At 34.4% G+C, this 26454-nt stretch overlaps 1 protein-coding gene across 19 annotated transcripts in view, besides 2 other annotated features; it reads right to left on the reverse strand.

The window, feature by feature from the left end:
• FANCL (FA complementation group L) overlaps positions 1–17456 on the reverse strand; it is an 82138-nt gene extending 64682 nt beyond the window's left edge. For 8 of the 19 annotated variants that reach the window (NR_164659.2, NM_018062.4, NM_001438891.1 and 5 more), the window contains exons 1-4: positions 17294–17401; positions 8130–8188; positions 5890–5950; positions 2804–2860 (exon numbers count right to left, since the gene is read on the reverse strand). Coding sequence is in view for 16 of the 19 variants with exons in the window: in NM_018062.4 (NP_060532.2) it covers positions 2804–2860; positions 5890–5950; positions 8130–8188; positions 17294–17389 (273 nt within the window). In the remaining 3 variants the exon portion in view is untranslated. Of the gene's footprint in view, positions 1–2803; positions 2861–5889; positions 5951–8129; positions 8189–17293 lie in introns of all 19 variants that reach the window. The other 11 variants (XM_047444856.1, XM_047444853.1, XM_017004416.2 and 8 more) reach the window with 3 other exon arrangements.
• Positions 16999–17048: a silencer, noted in NCBI's record as "silent region_11507". NCBI's record gives its function as "represses an Ori minimal core promoter by ATAC-STARR-seq in GM12878 lymphoblastoid cells {active_cell/tissue: GM12878}" and the evidence as "EXISTENCE:reporter gene assay evidence [ECO:0000049][PMID:35858748]".
• Positions 17589–17748: an enhancer, noted in NCBI's record as "active region_15794". NCBI's record gives its function as "activates an Ori minimal core promoter by ATAC-STARR-seq in GM12878 lymphoblastoid cells {active_cell/tissue: GM12878}" and the evidence as "EXISTENCE:reporter gene assay evidence [ECO:0000049][PMID:35858748]".

The raw sequence follows: 26454 nt of genomic DNA on the forward strand, positions 1-26454 counted from the left end.
TTACTTACAATACAGCCTAACACTAATAATTCTTATATCTTTAGGTATACTATCTTAAATGAGCAATAAAATCACCAAATTTGTCCGTAATTTCTGAAGAAAGCTAAAATACAGGATTTCATTTTTATTCAGAAATTGAATAAATATACTAAATAGATATTGTAAATCAGAGATCTCAAAATTTTATTTTAGTTTTAAACTAATAAGTGTTTCTCCAAAATTACATGGCCAAGAGAGCTGTGACTTACAATTTAATGAAGTTATTTTTGATAAGAAGAGTTTAATGGGACATGATATCTATACTTTTACTCTGGTTCCCTTAGTCTCTCCTTGTATTTGTATTGTTTATTAAAATTATAATAAAAAGATAAAATAAATGTTGCAAACTTTTCTCCAATGTCAAGGAGATGTAAACCAAATATGCTTCACTTGTTCACTTTACCTTTTTAAGGTTATTACATTAAGGCCTTTGATGTAATTTGTAATCAAGTTTGATAACCCTTATTAATTAGGATTTATGAACTCATAAATCAAAATTCAAACTTTAGAAATTAATTTTAAACTATTATTCTAATCTCACACATTTAATCAAAGTCCTACCTTAGAAGGTTCTTATTAGCATTAAAAAAGGACTCCAGAAAACAACCTAGCAACTAAGTTATCAATATGTAGTAGCTGCTGCTAGGAATAAAATGGTCTCAACAAGGATCACAAAGAAATATCAAAACTTTCCATTGTTAGCAATATTAGTATTGTAATTTTTATATAAACTAACAACACATAGACAGGAAAAGCATAAGTGAAATATAACAAGTAGAACATAACAAAAAACCATACTACAATGATGTTAACATTAGAAAACAGCATTTTCAGAGTAAAAGTGATACAAGCAAACAAGTAAAAATTCTATAATGCCAATTTGAATTGTAAATATCAATACAAACTCATAATTATATTCTTTCCAAAAAGTATTTTTTCTCAGTTTTGTCCACTGAAAAAACCTACAAGTAACAGCAATGCACACTCAAGTTTCCAGATTGAGGCATCCAAATACTATTTCCCACAAAGAAATCATGATTCTTTGGAGAAATGGCTGATTACAGTTACGGAATAAAATGAATAAATGAACCTGGGGCAACTGGTATCAGAAGGCAAACAAGCTTGGGTTATATTAAATAAAGAGCCAATATGAAGGGACTTGTGCTGACCAAAAAAATGGGACAATTTAAGCATCAAAAAGAAAATGACTACAATAAAAAAATTAATTAAATATATAAAAATCTATGAGTTCATAAAGATACTTTAAAAAAAAAAACACTTTAGATCCCTGTGACAGTTGCTAGGCACCAACTCATTATTCTAAAAATTGGTTTCTGTTTTAAAAGGAAAAGAAACAAGCACTTATCCAGTCTCTCCAGTATAAGCTGTACCTCAAATTAACCAAACAACTGATGAGAAGTTCTCTACAGAAGATTTTCAACTAATAAATGCAGATGATGGAATTTTTAAAATTACCATTTGTAAATCCTAATGAAACATTAGATACAGGCAATGATTGTTATTAGAGGCTAAAATCATTAGGTGACAGTCTGATGGGAAACTTTATATTGAATGGATCTAAACCTATTGATCAATCTTAAATTTACTAAAACAGGAACCAAGGAACCATCAGATACCACGTGGATCCTCATGTAATATAATAAATACAGAGCACCAAGTAATCTCATAAGAACAAATGAATCCAAATCTGCTGAAGCCTCTAGATCTAACTGCCAGATTACAAAGAAAGTAGAATATGTTAAAAGATAAACCATGAATATCTTACAAGCCAAATCCAGAATGTAGAAGATTTTATAGGACACCTAATTTGTTTTATTCAACAAATACATGGCATGAATAAAAAGGGTGAGGTAAAGAGGAGAGAGATGATGTTATACATAAGTACCTTATAAGTCTTATATAAGGCTTAAGAGACTTATCAACTAAATATAATGTGAGGACCTTGTTTGCATACTAATACAAACAAAGCAGCTATAAGAAATTATTAACTTTATTGAGGTTATAATAATATATTTAAAAACAGATAAAAAGCACTTAGCTGTTAAAGAGATACACACTGACATATTTACAGAGGGATACATACAATATCCAGAATTTCCTTTAAAATACTATGGTGTCTTTCTTCTAAAAAAGTAGAAGAGGAAATAAGATTGGCAAAATGTTAAAATTTGGTCAGGCCCAGCAGTATTCACTATAATCTTCCCTCTTCTTTTGTTTATGTTGAAAACTTGGGTAATAAAATGAACTTGGGTTTTAAGAAAATAATAAAATGTCTACAGGATAAACTGAATAATCAAGTATTTTATGCAACACTGATTAAACAGTACATATGTAACAGTATACATAAAATGAAGCCTAATAAGTTTTTCAGATATCTGTAGCTATACACAAAATTATTTATACATCATATTATATCTTTAAGTAGGACTACCTAATCTCTTCTTAGATGTTAAACTCTCTGCTGATAGGCCAGGAGTACATTTTATTTCTTCACCACCTGCCCAACACTAGTGTCAAGAATACCTAGTTTATAATACAATCAAAGAGGTTCCTTCGAACAGTTATGTCCCTCATGCAGTTCAAGAAATGCGTCATCTATATTTATGTACACAGTAAAAGAAAACATCAAATGACTGAGAGTTAAGAAGACAAATTCTAATAATGTCAGTTTTTAAAGGAGTTACAAAAAAGAAATCAAGACTTGCAGTATGGTAACAGTGTCAGAAAAAAAAAAAATTCTTACCAAAAGCATCTTCAACTCCATCATAAAGCTCATTAGATCAGGAGAGTGCTGCATTCTCTAGATCAAAATATTTCCAATTAATTTCATTTGCACAATAAATATTCTATCCACTAAAACTGTAAAAAAATGTAGGCCCAAGTGAATGTGAAAAAAAGATTAGCTATATCTACATCTGAAAACTATAAGAAATGAAGTATCGGTCATCAACTTTACTACTCCTACCAATTTCATTTTGAAACAGTAATTAATGTCCTCAAATCTAATTTGCTGAGATATATTAAACTGTGTTAGAATGTCACTTAAAACCTCACACTACTCTGTTTCTTGAGCACTGTTTACTACTGAATCCCTTGTCCCCCTTGCAGGGCATGCGATGGGAGTGTGGCTTGCTTCTTCAGTGCCCCGCTGCATAAACCTCTAGGGGAGCATACAGACGGGCAGGCTGTGGAGCTCCAACCCCACAGCAGTGTCTAGGGGTGAATGTTTACAGCTACTGAAAGCCCAGTGGGTGTGTGTTACAAGGTGCTTTTTTAGTTTAGCCATCCATAGGCAGCTTGTGTTAGTCAGCTCAATTAGACCCCTGCCTTATTGCAAGGACAAAGAACTTTCTGTATCCCGTGGTTCCTGCCTTGGTGTACTGGAAAAATTGGATCACATGTGGGCTTGGAGAATGAGTGCAAGGTTTTATTAAGTGCAAGTAGCTCTCAGTAGATGTGGGAGACAGAAGGGAGACGGTTTTCCCCTGGCGTCGGGTTGCTCAGCAGCCCAGGCTCTCCTCCAACCACCCTGGTCGAACTCCACGTCATTCTGCCGGTCAATGGCCTGCCGGCATGCTGAAGTCTATCGGTGTGCTCTTGACATGCTCTCGATGTCCTCTCGATGTCCAGCCACTTGTGTGTTCCTCCACCGATATATTTCTCTCAACGTCCAGCCACTTGTGTGTGTGTGTGCCTGCTAGGGTCTCGGGTTTTTATAGGCACAAGATGGAGGTATGGCAGGCCAGGGTGGTCTTGGGAAATGCCTGTCCTCACCTAGGTCAGTGGGCACAGGCCCGGGGGTGGAGCCCTCACCAGGGACCCATCTTTCTCTACTCAGCACTTCCCTGCCGCCCTTCTGTATCACTACTATGTCTAGCAAATCTAACAACCTCATCATTACTTTTTTTAAAGAAGAAGAGAAAGAAGAGGAGGAGGAGGAGGAAGAGAAAAAAAAAGAGAAAGAAGAGGTATAGGAGTGATGTGAGTGGGAAGAGGAGTATAAAATATAAAAATCAGGCAACTCTATGTAATTTTTAAAATCTAGTGGCAGCAATAAATTAACAATTATTAATTAACAATATGGTCATTTTTTTTATTTTTCCCTTGACCTTAAAAACTACCTATAATTGTGATTTTTGTCCTCTCACAACTAATCCATATTAGTCAAAATGGAGACAGTCATTCATTAAAGTAAAACCTGTTATAATAAAATGGCAAAAAAGGAAATAATCTCTAAAGTACAATAAATATTTAAGAGTTACTATTCCATTTCCTAGAAATCCTTCATTCTTAAAATAACTACAGAAAAAAATATTCTCAAGTTTTACATTGTTTTCAACAATGCATGAACACATATGATTCACATCTTAACATAGCTTTGAGTGGGTCTGTGTAGAGCAAATCCTTGACTATCCCTTCTTCTACATTGCATTTTCCCCTTAGTTTATTACAGATGATCAATAAATGACAGGGTCTGGAAACTAAAGTCCAGAGGCCAAATCCAGCTCAATACTGTTTTTGTAAACAAAGTTTTATTGGCATGTAGCCATACACATTCACTTACCTCTTGTCTATGGTTGCTATAACGGCAGAATTGAGTAGCTGCAACAGAGATCTTATGGCTTACTAAGCCAGAAAAACTTATTATCTGGTTCTTTACAGAAAAAGTCTGTTGACTCCCTGGCCCATATTTACTAAAATTAAAAATGATACAAGAAAAGAATAGTAATATTCACTGGGACTGTAAAATAAAAAGAAGACTTTAACACTGGGTTCTACCTAACCAATTGGGGGGCAAGGAAAGATAAATAATTGGGATTTTTTTCTAGGAATCCTCTTGATAACTTGCTGGTGAAAAACAGAGTAATAGATCTTAATATTAGACTACATAAACCATTTTTTCCCATGCTATTTCAATATGTCAACAGATGCATTTCTTAAATTTTAGTGTACAATATAAATAGTCAAAGGGATGGAGACAGGGATGGAAAGAAAACAGAAATAATTTGAACATATCCTTAAAAAAACTTCTGTAATTATATTGCCAGGATGATAACCTTCATTCTATAAATCAAATAGTTTATCTCCTATACTTCTTTGCAGCTTTAATGCTTTATGGGAGAGTTACTGTGATTGTCAGTTATCATAGATAATAACCTGCCTTTAAGACACAGAAATATAGAAAATCAGGAAAAAAACACACAAATGCATAAAGCATAAAAAGAAAGGCAATTCTAAAAACTATTTTTCTAAAAGAAGAATTATATTATGTCATTATTTTGCTTCAGTAACTGATTTTTTTTTCTAATCTTTAAAGGAATTTTCAGGTAGAGGAACCTAAACATTAAGAATAAAGAAATTAATCCTGCCTATTAACACACTAAGCAGCCTTTAATTTATCTCCCCTCATTATGCAAGTACACATGATCCTAAATTATTTCTGCCACATCTTTTCTGTTGCTAATCTAGGACTAAAATCCCATTTTTGCCACAGATATCCCACAGCTCTAAATGGGTCTGATTTTTTTTCCCTATCACCACCATTCAGTCTCAGAAGAAAAATCACTGAAGAAGTGATGGATATGGATAAGGGTGAATGCATTTGAAGAACCTAAAGTCTCAAAGATGGAAATCGATTTCAACACAAAGGCTGCCTGGAGATCTCCTGAGGACACTGAGATTTAAAAACACACAGAGATGAAACCTACAAAACTTAACAACTATTAAACCAGTTTGTTACAACATTGTGCAAAGCAGGTCTTTAAAGAACAATAAATTTAGTAATTTCTTATCTTCACTGAAAACATAAACCTTTTAAAAAGGACTTACCTGTTGTACTATTCGATGGTATCCACTAAGTATTGTTCTCAGCTGCCAACTACATAATAATCTAAAATTTTAATGAGACAAAATGGTTTATTCATTGTTCAGAATTAAAAACTTATTTGTATGCTAACACAAACATGCATGTACATACAAAAGAATGACAAACATAATTTGGACAAGTTAATAAAATTTTTACCACTGATACTGTTCAAAGTCTTGTCTTCAAACTGTTGGTACTAATTTTATTTCAAAATATAAATAACTGCAATCAGTAAATGACATGCAAACAGTACATCTTGTTTTTTAACTTTAACACATCCGAAGCAAAGTTTTCCACTGAAGTAGATTCTTTTCCAAGATAGGTTAAATAAAACCAACAGTTTTGATAACAATATATCATCAAATATAATGTATCAAACATGTATTTGAAAAAGCATGTGTAGCAATATTATCTTCAAATTCCCGATTAATATAACTAAAAGGATACATTTTATTTTTATTTTTTATTTTTTAGAGACAGGATCTCGCTCTGTCACTCAGGCTGGCTGGAGTGCAGTAGAATAGCTGACTGCAACCTGAACTCCTAGGCTCAAGAAACCCTCCCGCCTCAGCCTCTCAAGTAGCTGGGACTACAGACACCCACCACCAAGCCTGGCTAGAAAGATACATACTTCTAATTAATTGTATAAGAAGTGATAAGTTAATGTTCATCCACTTACTGGCTGACCTCTGTTGTGCTCCCGATACTATTAAGTAACTCTTCTAAGGAATTACTTTTAGTTACCTACAAGTAGGAAGCCTCTCTGAGTTTTCCCCAACATGGCCTTTTCAAACTGTCACAACTCTCTCCATTCTTGGTCTTCAAATCCCCATAACCATCCCTATCTCCTCTCTTAGTGGCAGAGTAGTTCATTCAAATGTCCATTGGTAACCCCTGCTCAAAATGTGCTTTCTCTCCCCTGCTACCAACTTGGTGACTTCAATTAATTATCCCTTTATTGTGGTATCCTTAATTTATGTTCTGCTAGTTTTTTTCTCCTTAATGAATTAACTTGCTCAAATATATATCTTTAAAGAACATCATAACTCCTTCTTGAATGCATACCATTCTCTAACCACCTCTTTTTCTTCAAAATACTTTATACTTTCCTCCCACTCATCCAACACAAATGGCTTCTGCCACCACACAAAACTTACTTGCATCTAACCTATCTCTTTGTAATCCTCAGCATTGCTAACCATGCCTTGCTTAAGCCTCTCTTTATTTGGCTTGAAAGACTCTGCTGCCCAAGTTTTCCTCTTCTCTGGTCAATCCTTAGTCTCCTTGTAAGTTCCTCTTTAGTGACCAGTCCTTTAAATGTTGGTACGCCCCAAGGTCTTGTCACTGGCTTTCTCTTCTACCCCGCTAGACACAGCACCAAAAAGTCTATTCATAATCAAGGTCTCAAATCCTTCATCTGTTGTAACTTCCACACACATCTGCACTCCAGGTCTCACACTCTATTTCCACACCACTACATTACTACCTACTAAATAGCTCCTCTTGGTATTTCACACCAAATATGCCTTAAAACAATCTCTCTTCTACTTTTCCATCTGTGACCTCTTCTCTAGCTTAGAGATCTGAGCCGGGAATTTGAAAAGCATCCTCTATTCCTTTTTCCCTCTTAACTACACTTCTGTTGGTCACAAAATCCTCTCAATTCTACTCATAAATATCTCTGGATTCCTTTTCCTCCATTCTTCTCCAGAAATATTTAGAGGCAGAATTGAGATTTGGGGTGGTACCTAAATTTTCAGTCTCATATCCTGACTAGTTGTATCTACCAGCACTCAATGTTGGTACCTAATTTAAGCCAGGACTGAACTGATGTGACTCTTCTCATATAATGAATATACACATTAATAATATCAGTCAAAAGTTGGAAAAAAAGTTTTCTAATCCTTTTGTTCTCCCTTTATATACCTGTTCAGTATTTGTTAGTGAAGTGTACACAATGGCTGTTTACTGCTTTAAATATTTTTTTAAAAATGAGAGAACTAATGTTTAAAAGCACTTTAGTAACAGGTAAATATTTACAAATGCTGCATTGGTTTGGAAAAATCAGAAATGTTTCTTTTGGGGCAAATGACTAATAAGCATTTTAGGCAAAACTCTAGTCACTAGAATCAATTTATACCAAATGTACTGCCTGTCCCACCAAAATGCAAAAATGCACGTTTATAACTAAACACCATATCACCTTGCATTCTTCAGTTGTAAATCTTCAGGCAACACTATCCTAAGGTGGAAGTCTCTTCCCTGTGGAAAATATTGAAAAGGATCACTCAAATTTTTATCTTTCACTTAATGCTGAGAAGTTAAACAGAATCACAAAGAAAAGACAATGTTTTCCTTTATTTTCTAAAAGGTATCAATTTTATCCACATCTTTATACTTGTTAAAATATATGCAACACAATATTGCATTTGAGGGAAAATAACTCAAAACTGTCTTACAAAAACTTTGTAGTTACTGGGAAATCAAAACACTCAGATAAGACTTTGTTTTTAAAGAGAAAGTCACTCACAAACACAAGAAATATTACAAAATTGCTAACCAGGCCCATAGAAGAAATTTCAGTGTTATTTCTTAGTAAATAAATTTATGAAAAAAGAAATTCCTTCAAATTGCTTTAATGGAAGAAAAACATCACAATATAAAATAAGGATATATAACATTATATAGTCGTTTTCAGCTTACTTTCTAAATTTTAATAAAATGAAAATATATTTAGTTACACAATCTATACAGACATAAGTGAAATACTTGCATAAATCAGAGTATATTTAATTCTCCCATTAGTGGGCCTCTAACTTTTTTGAAATCAGTAACATATTAACTATATATTTGAACAAACAGAATTTTACTCAAGAGTCTTTCTAAGAGAAGAAAGACCTCTGAGACATTTATTCCATTTTACTTTCTTGGAAAAGTGAATGGGTAAGTAGTTTAAACTTTATAACTTAAATAGGATAATACACAGGAAACTTGAGCAAAAATAGCAGAAAAAGACAAACAGAAATGTAATCTTTTACTCTAACAGAATAAAATGAAAAAGTAATAAAATTCTCAAAAAACAATTACCATGTGGAATTTTAACACAGTCTCCCTCAAAGCAGTTTCAAAAACAGAGGAACACAATTAAATGTACCCTATAACCTTTACTTTCATGGTAATATTACAGTTCTGACTTTCATTACATTTAAATGTCCTTTAAAAAAATGAAACAAAATGTACTACTGACCTTTTCAAAAGGTCAAGTAACAATAATTCACTGTTTCATTAAAGCACTAAAAGGTATTATGTAGTAACTTTAACCTAACATTATAGACATCCCACACAAAGGTGTAAGAACAATTTGGAATTCTTAATTTACACGAAAAATAGAAGAACTATTCTATATAGAAATCTGTGCTGTTATCTGAAAGAATAAAATTCCAAAGTCCCTTATTTGCAAAGCCCAGCCATTTTAAAAGGTCAAATAACATGTCACATGCCACGATACTTTCCTGATTCAAGAAAATGTCCAAAATTAGCTTTTTAGTTAAAGTATCTAGAAATATTAATTGTTCTCAAAAAAGCCAGATTTTCCAGGCTTTCAGGCAACAGAAATACTAACAGTTACCTAAACCTCCATCTCCCCACATATCATACCAAAAAGCTACATCAATTACCATATTAAGAATAAATAAAACCACAAAAATCCCATGTTTTCAGCCAGAAGACAGGGTACACGATAAACCTCAAATTACCTACAGGAAGAAAAATATGAAGCACTTTCCAATAGAACCTACTCTAGGACTCCCACAGCAACTCTTTTTAGAGTGCTAGGAAGGTCAGGAAAAAAAATGCATGGGAGAGAGACTGGGAGGACTAAGTAAGTGTAAAAAAAAATAGTAACAAGCTCTGGTAAATCAGAACACTGACCTACAAAGAGAAGACTTAATGTGCATTAACACAAAAGTCAAGGAGCCAGTCCTGGGAAAGAATGCTTTAGAGGCAGAAGATAGGAGAAAAGATAGGTAGAGACACCTTTTGGAAACTGGGTATTAGGAGGAAAAAGAAAAGTGGGAAACTTAGGCTCTTATACGAGTAAATAAAAAAACAACTCCTTCCCACCCAGCACTCGCCAACATTTCATCCATTAAATAAATTGTACAATAAATAAAATACCCAACAGAAGAGGGTATTCTTAAACTAGTAATTTTATAAACTATTGCAAACAGCCAAAACGTCCATGAATACAAAGATACTGTCTTCATCAATGCAAAGCTACTATGAGACAAAGAAACAAAAAGAGACTCACAAGATTTCAGGTGATAACAGACTCCATGCAAACAAAACCCAGAAACCATAAACAAATTATAATAATAAATGAAATAAGTGAGCATTTGTATCCAGATTCAGACATTTTAAAACTAAAATGAGAAATTGTATTTTAAAAAATGAAAAGAAATGAATGAGCTGAATAAACGCAGGGTGAAATGAAAATAAAGAAAAACACAAAATTATATGAAAGTGAAGGAATAAATTTAAAAAGAGTCCAAGGAAGAACAAAATGAAATACAAATGTCATAAAGGGCAAAGAAAAAGCAAGAAAATTACCAAATGAGAAAAAAATTAAAGACCATCAGAGAAAAGGAGTTGAAGTGGAACACAGACCCAAAAAAGTCCAGAGTACATATAATTGGAGATCTTGGAAAGAAAAATAAAATAGTAGAAAAAAAAATTTAAAAATATAATCCAAGTACACTTCCTGGAGTTCCACATACCAAAAGGGATAAGTGGCCACATGATAAAAGTGATTCACAATGATCAACTCTTGAGATATATCTTAATCAACAGATTTTCAAAATAAGAAAAAAGTCCAGAGTCTCTAGGTAAAAGATCAAATATATAGAAAACAGAATATAATTGGAAACAGACTTCTTAAAGCAAATTAAAAAATGAAGCAAGAATGAAATAGAAAATGTTAAGAAACTGAAGAGAACTGCTTCTAGCTATTATGGAGTTAAAAGGACAGGATTTATCTTCCCTCCTTATTTAAAAATTGGACAAAACATATGAAACAATGATTTTCAGACATTAAACAATAGGCAGCGAGGACAGTGATCCTTGAAATAAGGGAAACAAATGTGAAAATGCCTAAAATTGTCTGGTTCTATGATGGGAGTATTTTCAGGCTGCAAGATAGGGATGGACAAACAAATAAGAGCATAATATTCTCCCTGATGTGAGAAGAAACATGTGATCAAGGGGAGGCCAACAATTGTACAATTCGCAAGGTATAGTACCAAGCAGGAGAGAAATGCATGGAGAGTAGAGAAATATACACAGAGAAACGCCAGCGAATTTCAGAGGATTCCTGACAAGGAGTCTTCAGCTGAGTACTGCTTGCTCCATGGATATGAGGAAAACACCCAAAGGTGGGAACGTACAGGAACAGTCTGCAAAACAATCTCAAAGTTCATACAAGGCTGGGTATAGCCATGTTCCAACCAGCCAGAGTGGAAACCTTGCAATGTAAGAGCCATTAAATAGAGTGCTCAGAAGGTGTTGCTTCACTTGTAGAGACTAACTACCTTAGACTAAAGTCTGCTCTGGGTCTACCTAGCAATGCTTAAAAGCTTAAAGCTTAAAATTACTTGGAAAGATCAAACTGTTTCCAAGTAATTTAACTGTAGCTCACAACAAATCTCAAGAATACTTAGAGAACAAAAATATCTAGCATGCAACAGGTAGCATTCATTATGTCTAGCATCCAATCAAGATATACCAAGCACATATATTTCCTGCAAAGAAGCAAGGCAATACCCACAATGAAGAGAAAAATCAAGAGAGACATAAAAATGGCACAGATGATAAACCTGATTTAAAAAATTAAAACAATTAAATTTCATACGTTCAAGAAGGTAAAGGAAAACATGAGCGTACTAAATAGAGACAGGAAAGATGTAAATAAAGACTCCCTCAAAAAACATAATGTTTGAGATTTTTAAAAAATATGCTAGATAGTATCAACAGCAGATTCCACCTTACAAAAGAAGGTATTAGTATACCTGAAGACATATCCCAAATAAAGAGAAAGACATTGAGGGAAAAAAAAATGAACAGACCATGAGTGAGTTGTGACAACTTAAAGTGACCTAAATGCATGTATTTGGAGTGCCCAACACAGAGGACAGAAAAGGAGGAACAAAAAAAAAAAAAGAAAGAAAGAAAAAATAATGGCAGATGTTTTTTCCAAATTAAATGAAAATATATACTCAGAGATCCAAGAAGCTCCACAGACCTTACGGAGGAAAAACATGAAAAAAGCTACACCAAGGTACAACACACATCAAAGTGACTGAAACCAATGACCAAAAAGAAAAATCTTAAAAGCAGCCAGAGGAAAAAAATATTCTATTTACAGAGAAACAAAGAAAAGAGCAGAGATTTCTCGTAGAAAACAGTGCAAGACAGTGAAGTAACATCTTTACAGTATCAAAAGTGACAAAATTATATAGTTGATAAACCAATAGTGCATAAAAAATGGAATCCTAATATTACGTTAAGGCAGACCATGATAGATTTAATATGTATATTATAAACCCTTTAAGCAACTAGTTAAAAAAAAAACACACACACACACAGCCAATAAACTGGCAAAGGAGATAAAACAGAATTACAAAAAAGAATTCCAATAATATAAAATACAGAAAAATACCAAAACAATTAAAAATATGTAAGACAAACAGAAAACACACAGCAAGAGTAGATTTAAATCCAACCATATGAATAACCACGTTAAATGTAAATAGTCGAAGCACCCCCAAGTAAAAGGCAATGACTATCATATTGCATAACAAAGCAAAGCACAGAAGAAACACACTAAATATTAAAACACAAATAAGTTTAAAATAAAGAAGTAAAGATAAACCATGGTAACATCAATCAAAAGAAAGATGCAATCTATATGTTAATATTGGAAAATACAGATTTCAGAGAAAACATTATTACTAAAGATAAAAAAGGTCATTTCATAATCCTAAAGGAGTCAATTCATAAAGAGTGCTTAACAATTCTAAAAGTTTATGGACCTAATAACAGAACTTCAAAATATATGAAGCAAAACTGATAGAAATTAAATAGAAATTGAAAAATCAACAAAGATCGTTGGAGATTTCAACACCCCCTCTCACTAACTGATAGAAAAAGCAGACAAAAAAGTCAGTGAGCACAGTGCTACCCAATAAGGGCCTGGGTAGCACTCTGAACCAATTTGACCTAACTGGCATTTATATAATACTCTACCCAATAGCAACAGAATAGTCATTCTCTTAGAGTACACACAGTATATTCACCAGGATAGACTATATTATTGGTCATAAAATTAAGGCTCAATAAATATTTTAAAAATTTAAATCATACAAGTTATATTCTGTGACCAAAATGAAACTAAATTATAAATCAATAACAAAAAGATATCTAGAAAATCCTTAATATTGAGAAAGATAATCATAATTCTAAGTGAGCCATAGATCAAAGAAGAAATTAAAAGGCATTTGGAACTGAATAAAAACAAAACTACAGCACACCAAAATGTGTGTGATATAGCTAAACCAGTATTCAAAAGAAAATTTAAAGCACTAAATATCTGTACTAGAATAGAAGAAAGATCTCATATCAATAATCTTCCATCTAAAGAAATCAGGAAACTTAAGATCAGAAAACTATCATATAGAAACATAAAAATAATAGAAAAAAATTGAAGAAATTAAAGACAGGTTCTTTGAAGAAATCAGTAAAATTTATAAACCTCTATCTAGATGTATCGGGGGAAAAAATGAGACATAAATTACCTACATCAGATATGAGGATGAAAGCTATTTTTAACGTATATCCATAAATTATTTGACACTCCTACCTCTAGGAGTTGGTGCCTAATTTCCCTCCTTTTGAATATAGACTAAGAAACTTGCATCTAACACAATAAAGCAGAAGTAAATGTGTGTGACTTCAGAGACTAAGAGATTAAAGAGAATGTGCATCTTTATTGATCTCTCTGTTGTATCATACACTCAGGAGAAGCTAGCTGCCATGTGTGATAACAGTCAAGCAACACTATAAAGATCCATGTGGTGAGGAACTAAGGCCTCCTGTTAAGAGCAGTAACAAACTGAGGCCTCATGGCCAATAGCTATGTGAATGAGCAATCTTGGAAGCAAATCCTCCACCTCTAGCTTGACCAACTGGCAGCCCAGGACAGCTCTGAATGCAGCCCAACACAAATTAATAAACTTTCTTAAAACATTATGGGATTTTTTGTGATTTTTTTTTAGCTTATCAGCTATCATTAGTGTATTTTATGTGTGCCCAAGACAATTCTTCTTCTTCCAATGTGACCCAGGGAAGCCAAAAGATTGGACACCCTGTTTTAGACCATCAAAGTCTTGGCAAATATCTTGATTGCAAGATCATGAGAGATTTTGATCAAGAACTACCATCCAAGTTGTTCGCAAATTTCAAATCCACAGAAACAGTGAGACAATAATTGTTTTTGTTTTAAGCCACTAAGGTTTGAAGTAAATAGCAGCAAAAGATAACCAACATAGAGAGCATCATTACAGATCCTAAAGACATTAAAAGGATAATAAGGGATTATTGTAAATAACTTTAAGCCAATAAAATCAGAAACCTAGATGAAACTAACAAATTCCTTGAAAGACACAAACTACCAAAGCTCACTCAAAAGGAAAGAGAAAATCTGATAATAGAGACAACACCTAAAACTGATTACATATTAGGTCACAGGAAAAAGTACCAGTAAGTTCCATGGAGACTTTTTTATAAACAATACTGTCTAATTACAATACAAGAAAAATTAGAAATCAGCAACAAAATTAAAAACCAAAAAGGACCTTCCACGAGAAAATTTTTACAACCTATTAAGGTGCATAGTAAATTGACATCATATAGCTTCTAAAAATGGTGGTTATAAGGCTACATGTCAGCATCTATAGGATACTTTTAAAACACTGATGAGAGGAAATGCAAAGCCTTAAAAACTTACATACATAAAACCTGCTCACTGGCCAAATCTGGGACAATTCGAGGATCAAAATAAATAATGATTATAATCAAGTAATTTTTTTAAAAGTCCATGCATCCATTCTAATATAATTAAATAAATGAGAAAGCAGGCAATGCTACTCCTTATAATGAATTGCCACTTCATAAATATAGAAATGACAAGAGTTAGAAAATCATCATTTGGCAACCGTGATAGTAATAGTCGACTCAAGCAAAAGTCAATGGACGCTAAAACCAGAGAATGTGTGTGAAAGTTTGATGCCTCAGAGTACCTCCCCAAAAGTACTTATTAATTACAAAAGGAGACTCTGACAGATGATACCTTAACCAGGTGATCAAAGTTAACATCATTAATAATGGAACCAACCAGGTAACCTCACAAGCCTTGAGAAGGACAAAACAATCTTTCTGTAGTATCCCTGCCAAAAATGCATTAGCTGAATTTAATAGTGAGGAAATATCATCCAAACCCAAATTGAGATACATTCTACCTAACAGCCAATCTGTACTCTTTAAAAATGTCTAGCTTATAAAAAACACAAACAGACTGAGAATTGTTCCAGGTTAGACATGACAACTAAATGTAATGTGGGATCTTAACAACAGATGGTAGGGGATGGGGGTATAAAACATACAACTGTATCATAAACAAAATTTGAAATATGGACTCTATCTTAGATAATAGTATATCATTAAATATCCTGATTTTAATCACTGTACTGTGGTTATGTATGAGTGTGTCCTCGTTCTTATGAAATGTATGCTCAAGTATTTAGGGATAAAGGGGAACTACGCCTGATTTGACCTCAAATGGTTCAGGAAAATAATGTGTATACACACCCACCCACATACATATACTTAACAATGATCAGTAAAATGGAGAAAATGTAAACTGGTGAATCTAGGTAAAGGGTATACTGGAATTACTTGTACTGTATATCCTTGCTACTTTTCTGTAAATTTAAAATATATACAAAATATTTTTAGACACGTAAAATGTTTAAGATTTAAATAAACTGCTAAGGCAGGTACAAATTGGAATTCTAGCTATAGCAATGGTCATAAAAGAAACTTTCATCTAATCTCAATTCTAATGGGTGTACTTGTTTCCTAAAAGGCCTTAGCAGATATAGACATACATAACAGTATTTTGCCTAAAATTAGGTATAACATGCTTCCTGTAAAAAAAAAAAAAAAAAAGTAACTTAAAATTTTTCAACTTTTCTAAATGTTGTCTACAAGAGAATCATATTTTCAGCTAGGTAATTCAAGAAGAATACTTCTAATTGGAGAGGGAAAGGTGGATTAACTTTTTTCCATATGGAATAATGAATTTTTAACCTCTACTTTCTGTGATGGTCATATGGTAATTCCACATATACTCAAAGACTATGCGTGATGGTGGGGAAGTGGGCACAAGGTTGAGTGTAATGGTCAGAAAGGAAAAGTCTACACTCCTAACCTAAGGTATCCTGGTGCAATGTAAAGAGAAAAAAATCCAGGACTGAAATCACACAGCCTGCGTTTAAGGGATTCTGATGTGATCATCAGCAAATAACGTCTCCGGTTTCCCATACCTTGATTTCTTCAACTAGAAAATGGGAATGATGATTCTTTTAAAAATTTCTGCCTCAAAGGGCTGAGGATTAAGTGAACTATTTACCTGGAAAGCGCTTTGTAAACTTCAAAACCCTACACATGTGTTAGTATGTGTAATAAACTCCATATGAGAGGCCACTGGAATCAGCAAAGTTAATTAATTCCATTGCTGTCATGCTTCTCCTAGAAGATATTGTAACTGTGGGTGTACAGGTACATACGACTTGGCAAAGGGCCAAAATAAGGTTTTCTTCCCAAATGTTCTTTCTACAGGAAACACGAAAATAATTAGCCCAGATTCCCGAGTGAACTCATCAACATCCGTGGAGGTGGAGGGTGTTAAAATCGAGTTAAGGCAAAATTTACAAAAAAAAAATTAAAAAACAGTCAATTGCGGGACACTGAACGAAGAAGGAAGCCAAACTCGGGGAAGGGCTAGGGAGAGAGGAGGCGTGGCCCCAGCCCCGCTCCACGCCGCGCGCCTCCTCGCTCCCCATCCAGCGCGGCGACCACCGGGGTGGCGGCGACAGCGGCGCTTCTCAAACCTTTAGTCTCCCAAGAGCCGTTACGCGCCGCCCCTCTCAATCCCCACAAGTCTGGGCCCCTAACCTCCTAGCCCGTCACAGACTTCTCCGCGCAGCTACGCTGCAAGAGGCTCTCTTAGCTAGAAAGCAACCACTGGGCGGGTACCTGAGCCGAGATGAATCCCTCATACACGGTTTTCGACCGGTTCTGGGGCAGAAGCAGGGGGCACTGGCGCAACAGGCTCGCTTCCGTCACCGCCATGGCTCGAAGTCCGGAGAAACACAGAAAAGCTCTAGACCTGCTGGGTCCTGCACATGCGCAGTCCGCTGGCGCTCGGACGCCGCGGAGCGGAAACCCCAGCCTTGGCGGGAAGATCCTGGAGGATTCCGCGGGCGGAAATGAAGGTGAAGCGCAGGCCAGGCCAAGTGGCGCTCTGCGGGAGGCGACATCAGGGCTCCCCAACCGGTAGTGGGAGGGAAGATTGCCCTCAAGTCCACAGGACTGACTGACCAAGATCATTCTAGCCTCAATTGTCCCAGGAGCCCTTTCGATGATTCTGTTTTACTTTATTGAAAGACTGTTACAACTTTGGTGTTGCATTTCCTCCAGAATAAAATGACTTTTACAGCCTGGACGTTGTAGCACTCTGTCTTCTTTGCTGTTGTCCTCTCTCCCTTAACATACAGAATAATGTATTATTTTGTGTATAATTATTGTAATATAATGTATAACACATTGATTATATCATATATATTACAGTTCTGTGGCTTACTAAGTTCAATCAGATATATTTGAGGCACACACATGTATACGTATATGTGTATTGATTAGACTCAAGTCAACACTGGACTCAGTTCTGTGTACGGCACTCACAAATATATAAAGCAAAACATGAGTAAAGATTGCTGATGGACTTGAACTTAATTTTCCTCTGACAGCGCTTGCAATATGTTTTTCTAACTCAGGAATGTTATCCATCCCATCTTATTAAGAGTTGATTAAATAAGAAACCTACTAAAATATTTACCATATGATTATTTGATTTTCCAATTTTCCAATTTTCCAATGCATCACGTTTGAGCCCTACTATTTGAAAAACATCATTGTAATGTGCCAAAGGTTGAGCAAAGATTATTTCGTCCCCTACCCATCTTTATTGACCTCAAGACAGAATTTGACATCCTGAAGATTCTTAAAGTTTGACAAGAATTTGTCACAGCATTCTGGATGCTTACAGAAAAGAATGCTGGAGCAGTGGTTAGATATAAATTACATTAAAGCAGTGGTTCTCAAAACGTGATCCTAGAACCTAGCAACAGCATCACCTGGGAACTATGTAGAAATACAAGTTTTCACCGCTGATGGGGTTCAGGATATGCTACCCCAAAATATGGCCCCTTGACATTTGAGAAAACAACAAAACCTAAGATCACTCTCTGACCTTCTCCCATCCTTCTTCCCTGAGGCGGGTCATTGGATCCTCAATCCAGAGGTGCTCTTCCTATACCCACAGGAAAGAAATATCCTTATCTCTAAAGAAACGGAGACATAGAAAAGAATCTGAACAAAAAGACCTTTGACAACTTACCCCAGTTTATTACCATTAGACCATGCTTTGTCCAACCGTACTTCCCCACAACTGTCCACTGTTCCTTCTAAAAATGCACAGGTTTTCCTGTTTCTTTGGGCTTCATCTCTGAAGGCTCCCATGCCACATAAAACTTAAATAAATTTGCACGCTTTTCTCTTATTAATCTGTCTTTTCTTATAAGGGACTCAAACAGGAATCTAGCAACAGGAAAGAAAGATGTTTCTCATTCCCTACAGGCCCCTATTTCAAACCTCGGGAATCCCAAACACTGGCAATAGGGCTCAGCAGTCTGCGTTTTAACAAGCTCTCCAGGTGATTCTGATGCATGCTAAGGTTTGAGGATCTCTGCAGGGGCAGGACATAACACCTGCTTTATTTTGCAACTCGGTAATTAAGGACGGCCATGCTACATGTTTTCCTATAAGAATAAAGTAGAGGCTGTGCAAAAGTGGGATCAACACAAAGATTAAGAGAACATATAGTCCCTTACTTCAAGCACTTTATAATTTATCTGTGAATTAAGATCTTTATTGTATCCAGTATGTTAAACTTCCCCACCACCACACTTTCCCCCATGGAACTTCTACCCTTTCTTTAAAGTTCTTCTCAAGTGCTATGTCTTTTTGGAAAGCTTTTTTAATCTTCTGAAAATTATTGCTCTCCCTAATCATTTAGCATATTTCCTGCTGCATCGTAGGTGCTAATAAATTATTTACTAAATATCTTAATTTGGGTTGTTATAGCAGAATACCATAAACTGGATAGGTAATCCGCAGAAATTAATTATTTCTTAGTTATGGAGGCTGAGAAGTCCAAAATCAAGACGCAAGGACAAGATTTGGTGTCTGGTGAGGAGTCACTTCCTGGAACACAGTCTTTTGGCTGTGACCTTACATCACATTCACCTTTACTATTGATACACTGGACAGTGTGACCACTTGCCAAAAGCAGTTGGCTCCTTGATTCGGAATCCCCATAATTAGGTAACTAGACTTAAAGATTTCCAGCACGTTTATTGCTAATTTATCATCTTAGATTTTAAAGAAAAGACATCCAAGTCACTGTTATGATAGTTGAACTTGTAAATGAGCATTCCTTATCAATAAAATCTATAATTGAAGAAATCCAATGACCAAGGAACAAGGTAAGATACCATATAAAAACTTTTTAATTCAATTACTCGACTATTATCCTTAGGTGTTCAAGACTGAAAGTTGGATACTCACTACCATCATCAATTCATACGTGGTTGTGCTGGAACCATTTATATATAGCCCAGTTGAAGTCAGCCACCCCAAAATCCAAAAAAAAAAAAAACAAAAATGCTCAATATGTTTAAAGATCAGAAAGCCAAGGAACTACTTCTACCACCATCAGCATGATTTCAATTTTGGAATCACTCTGACAAACTGCACAAAGATCCTCATTAAAGTTCAAGTTCCACCAGGTATCCTAGGCAGGATTTCATTTATATACTTTGCCACAAAAATTACTACTATTTAAATGCTATTGCCTGAGGAAGAACTTTATATTCTAACACAGAAAAATATCCAAACATTTTGACAAATAAAAAGCACAAATTCCAGAATGGTATGCTTACTATTATAACATTTATATTCAAATATATAAGTAAAGTTGCTCTGTATTACTAGCAATGGTTACTTTAGGGGAGGGAGATGGGAACAAAGAATGGAGATAATGGCCCATGGAGACTTTTATCTTTTATATTTTAATTTTTTAAAGGAGAATTATTAGTCTTAAAATTAAAAATTAAAATTTAAAATGCTTATACCATTCCAATTAGCATCTGTTATCCTTATTTTATAGCCCAAATGTTTAGCCATGTCCCAAGAGTTTCTTCTCCCAGTTCCCACCAGTAATGGAAGAAGATAGGATGCCTGCCATTAACATTAATAAGATTAATAAAGGAGAGATTGTTTGAGTCTGCTGAGAAGAAAGATGAAGGAAGAGACTTGCGAAATGTGAAAATAAAGGGAAAATGAAAATTAGGGGAAAGTGAAGGAAGAATAGCCATTTAAAAGAGTTTTCAAAAAAACTGGAAAAGCAAGCCAATAATATCCTATTCTCTGTGGCACTGTGTCATAGAATGGAAAAGACAGCAGATAGTCAAGATTAAGGCATGATCAGGAGTGTAAAATGCTACCTAAAGGTTGAAAAAACTGAGAATTATAGAGAGGCCTTTGGATTTGATCACGCAAAAGCATTTATTAATTTGAAAGATCAGTTTGCTCTTGCCTGTTTTTCTATCCATGCACTAAACAGCAGTTTATAAATTGCGATGTAGTGAATAATTTTTCAGCCTTGAAAAGACCATATCCATAAGAAATAAACTACAAAGACTTAATTATGTGACCAAAGTCTGGTAGGGTGATATATGGAGAAGACAACCTGGCTCCTATAACCCTACCCCAACTCTTTTGGAGCACACTCCCTTGGTAGGTAGGTTTTACCAATAATGAGTCTAGATCCATTGCAGGTACAGAATAACAATTTCTGCTTCACTCTGGGCTGTAGACTTGAGGAGCAATGGTACCCACAACCCAACTACAGGTAAACAAAAGACCATTTAAGGGTTAAGTCTGCTAAAAGAGTTGATGGGTTACAAAGATTGGGCTGGAATCAGAAGAATATTTATGGGGTCATCATCTAAAGAAAGGATAAGAATGTAAACGGGCCGTTTAAAAGTATAGAAGAATCCAGATTATTAAACAACCCTCTTCTTAGCAAAGCACGAAGACCCTCTTCCCAAGAAACACCATCCCCACACCCAGTGAAAGCCACTGATTAGAGAGATTAACAGCTCTTTTGTACTTTTTAATAAGCCACTGGGAGAAATGTCCTCAGATTACTAGCATCTAACAAAAATTACAACTCAGGAAATAAATGTTGCAGTTGACAGTGGCAGAATAGAAGAGACCTATTTACAGGGGGTGCAAGCTTGAGAAGGCCACAGTTGTAGAGGTTAGGAGAAAAAAGAGAATAATAAGTACATAGGATTAGAGAAGAGTAGTTGTTAAGAGGAGGAGGAAGCATGCAGCAAGAGAAATCAAAGGGAAAAATGACTCTATGTTTATTTTGAAATTCTGCTTGAGGCTAGTCAATCCCACTTGCCCTAAGATACCAAAAGGAAAGCAATTCCATCCCTGAGAAAAGGATTTCCAACATCCAAAGAGGAAAGAAGATGCACAAATCCCTCACTTTTACTCTGGAAACTCGAGCTAATAGATCAAAGGGAATGAGAGGAAACAGATTTAATCTTACTCATTCTCAATAAAAGTTTCTAATACTGTCCCTAAACCATCAAAATCATTTTAAAATATTTTAATACATAGGTGCCTAGGTGATGCTGAAAGGTTCTCAAAAGTATGATCTCTGGACCAGCAGCATCGGCATCACCTTAAAAGAACACACCAACTCTGATCTACTGGATCTCTCATTTCGGGAAGAAGGATTCAACAATCTGTTTTAACAAGTATGTGTGTACCAAATTCATGGGCCAGGCGCAGTAGCTCATCCCTATAATCCCAGCACTTTGGGAGGCCAAGGCAGGCAGATCACTTGAGGTCAGGAGTTCGAGACCAGCCTGGCCAACATGGTGAAACCCCATCTCTACTAAAAATACAAAAATTGGCCAGGCATGGTGGTGCACTCCTGTAATTCCAGCTACTCAGAAGGCTGAGGCACAAGAATTGCTTGAACCCGGGAGGCGGAAGTTGCAGGGAGCTGAGATCACACCACTGCACTCCCGCCTGGGTGACAGAGTGAGACTCTGTCTCAAAATAAAAATAAAAAACAAAACAAAACAAAAATTTATGTTTTAATTGGGCAAATCTGATACAAGCTAACACCATTAACCTAGACTTAGTAAACCCAAATTCTCATATCTGATTTTATTGTGCAGCTATAATTGAAAGTTATTGCATTAATCAAATGAATAATTGTTCAGACAGAAGTTTTACAGTGCCAAACTCAGAGTTAGCCTGGCACATATTTAAGGCTTAGAGGACATCAGCTAAAAAAATGTAGTCTGTTAGTGTCAAGCCATTATTTAAAAGAACTTCTTAATGTAAAAATTATTTTAGTTATAAACAGATAAACTTTTTTTTAAGCTAAAAAATCTATCTCAATTTGGATCAGACATTAGGGAGCTGAAATTTTCTTGACCCGTCCATTGCAGTCCCAGATGGCTGCCAGAACTCTAACCATAACTAGAGGGAAGGACAATAATAGCTTTCTCAGAGGTCCTTTCGAACACTAGCCATTCTCATATGCAAAGGGGCTGGGAAATACAGTTTTTTTAAGCTAATATATTACCTAGAGTTCTATTAGTAAGAATAAAGAAGAGAATGTTTACAAGATGCACTACTCCCCATTTCTGCAACACTATGAAATCCTTCTAACACACACAAAAATTAAAACTTTTTTGGCATTGCATTACTAATAAAATGTATACTCTATATGACGAATTTTCAGACTGAAGGTCCAATATGATCACTGTAATTCCAAAGATATTACAGTATGTTTACCAGGTATTTTCTATTTTTTCAAAACTATTTTTTCTTTCATGTGACTACTAAAATTAATTTATATTTTGTTGCTTACCTGAAGTGAACATCATCTATGAAAATACTAAAGATGGATGGGTAACATTATAAGAAGCAATAAGGAACCAGTTTTACATTTTAGAGAATGTGTGATCTATACAGTAATGAAATATGCTCAAATAAATAAGGAGATAATGAAATTATAGTTTTTTTATCCTAAAATGTCCTTCATCTATGAAAAATAAATAAGATTTGGTTATGGCCTATGCCATCTCTTTTAAACAATCCTTTGTTGATTGGGATAGGATTTGCTGAAATAACAATTTGGTTTCTATTTAATGTTGTTTGTTTCTAAATACAACAAATAAAATAACATATAATACCTGTAATCTGAAAATACCTGACTTTATGAAATGTTGTTAAATAAATTTTAAAAAGTTAATTAACTTTTGTTCCAAAATTTAAAATGGATTTTTATAAGTATACAGTAATTTCAAAATAACAAAAACATTTCAAGTATCTTAGCAACACTTTCTTATATTCTACAAAATCTTAAGTATATAAAAGTCATTATTAGCAGATATAATTATGCATTTGCTGATGGTTATGTGTAATTGGCAAAAGGTTTTTTTTAAAAACAATCTACTTAAATACAGCAGGAAACATAAAAATGATTTTCTTTTGAGCAAGTACCACATATAGAAGTATATACCAAAAAAAAAATCCGGAAATGTTCCTAGAAATAGGAGACAACCAAATATCCAGTAAGTTGGAAATGGGTAAGTTATAGTAACATAGTAGAATGTCTAAAAGCCATTAAAATTACATGTAGGCATACAATATTGGAACATAAGAAGTATATATAAGATACAAATGTGTGAAAAAGACCAAAACAATGCCAAGATGAAGAGAAGGATATATAATTAGCTGATATTTTAAAAGTAAAGAATCTTTCATTTTTCTATTTAAAGCAAGTTACTTTACAATGAATTTTTAAAAATAAGACATTAGCAAAGATTTTCAGAAATCTAAATGCTGTCAGAATTAAAAAGTCATCTATTAAATTAAAGGAAGCACAGTAACATGAAAAGAGAATAAAGAAACTTGGGTTCAAATAGTTGATTTTATTGTTTTCACTTAATATATCTTAGAGTTTATTGCACACCAGTAACTATAGATCAACCTCATTCTCTCTAAAGGTAACATAAAGTTTATTTTGAGAAGACTAATACTAACTTTTCTCATTTTAAAAAATTAAGATATGATTTACATAAATTTTACTCTTTTTAGTGTGTATAAGTTTTGACCAATGTATACATTCAAGAGTAATTTTTATTGATACTGCAAAATTGCCCTCTTGAGAAGTTGTACCAGTTCACTCTCCCACAGTTATTTATGAGTACTTGCTTTTCTATAGCCTTATCAATTCATATGTGTCATCAAATGCTTTGATCTTTGCCAATATGTTAGTGAAAGTGGCATTGTGTTATAATTTAAATTTTTATTTCTTTTATTATGATAAAGCCAAGCATCTTATATATAAGATCCATTAATAGTTCCTTTTCTTGAATTCTCCATATTTTTTGGGGGGGTGCTCATTTTCCTTTTGTGGGTTGGCCTTCTTTTCATGAATGCTAGACTTCAGTTTTGGGGGATTTTGTTTATTTCTTTCTTTGTTTGAGACAGGATTTCACTTTGGTGCCTAGGCTGGAGTGCAGTGGCAAGATCATGACTCACTGTGGCCTCAACCTCCCTGGAATCAAAGAATGCTCCCACCTCAGCCTCCTGAGTAGCTGGGACTACAGGCACCCACCAACACGCCCAACTAATTCTTGTATTTTTTTGTGGAGATGGGGTTTTGCCATGTTGCCCAGGCTGGTCTTGAACTCCTGGGCTCAAATGATCCACCCGCCTCGGCCTCCCCAAATGCTGGGATTACAGGCGTGAAACACTACACCTGGCTGAATGCTTGACTTCGGATAAGTTACTTAATGATTTCTGAGGTTGTTTGCAACTATAAAAATGCATTTGTGAAAAATGAATGGTTTTACAAAATAATTACAGTTAAATATGAATTATCTGGATGATAAATCTAAAAAAGAACTTACTTTGAAACTGTTATTCATATTGTTTGTTACTCTGTTTAATAAAAATGTTTGTGAAATCTAAAGTGAAGTGCCAACATTGGGTATTTTCACTATTTCGTCAACAACAGAGAAGAAAGTTTAACCTTACACATTTTCAGTTGGAAAATAAGTACTTTCGGGAAATGATGTTGTAAAGTTATGAACCAATTATTGCACTGGGAGATGAAGTTCATGTTCAGTATAGAGTGAGCAACAACAAGCAATTGAGGCAAAATATCTTTACATAAAGTTTTACTATTTTGTTTGATGAAATGAGAATTCCCGAAATTTATTAGACGCTTATATTCAAATTATGAACATAAAAACCTTACAAATTCAGATGTAGATAATCTCCTTTCTGTAGGTTTATATCATTCAAAAATGATTATATATTATCATTTTAAAATGACAAAAACATTTTAAGTAACTATTGAAAATTAACAGGAATTCAAAACTATTCTTTAAACTCTTCCTAAGTCGATAAAGTTGTTTTTTTAAAAAGAAAAATGGTTATTCTTCAAATAGTCCACTTGAGGAGGATTCAATTTAATCTCATTTCCTTTATGGCCTAAAAAATAAGGCACAAAGAAAAAGATATTATGGAAGGAAAAAGGCACAAAGGAAAAGATATCACATGTCAAGGCTGACTAGTCCAAGTTTTATAGCTGGGCTTCTAAATGAAAACCGGACTGACAAAGATAAAAGATAAAATCGTACAAGTTTTAGGACTTTTAGAATATTGATATTTATCCTAGTAAACAAATATAAATAAAATCTGGTAACATTAACATAAAGTTATTTTCTACATTTAAAATTTGTTCAATTTTCTAAAACTAAGTATTTTTACCTTACCTTAGTGTTCCATCATTTCATAGACAGCACAACCTAAATTACACACTCTTCATCTACTGTCCTGAGACTGAAAAACAGATGTAGATTCAGAAGAATGTGAAATTTTAATGGCCCCATTGGATAAGCAAATGAGTTCACTCAATGAAGATAAATCCCCATAGGCAATTCCTTCCCAAGAATAGTCTTGGCTTT

Source organism: Homo sapiens, chromosome 2 (assembly GCF_000001405.40).
Source record: "Homo sapiens chromosome 2, GRCh38.p14 Primary Assembly".
Taxonomy (NCBI): Eukaryota; Metazoa; Chordata; class Mammalia; order Primates; family Hominidae; genus Homo; species Homo sapiens.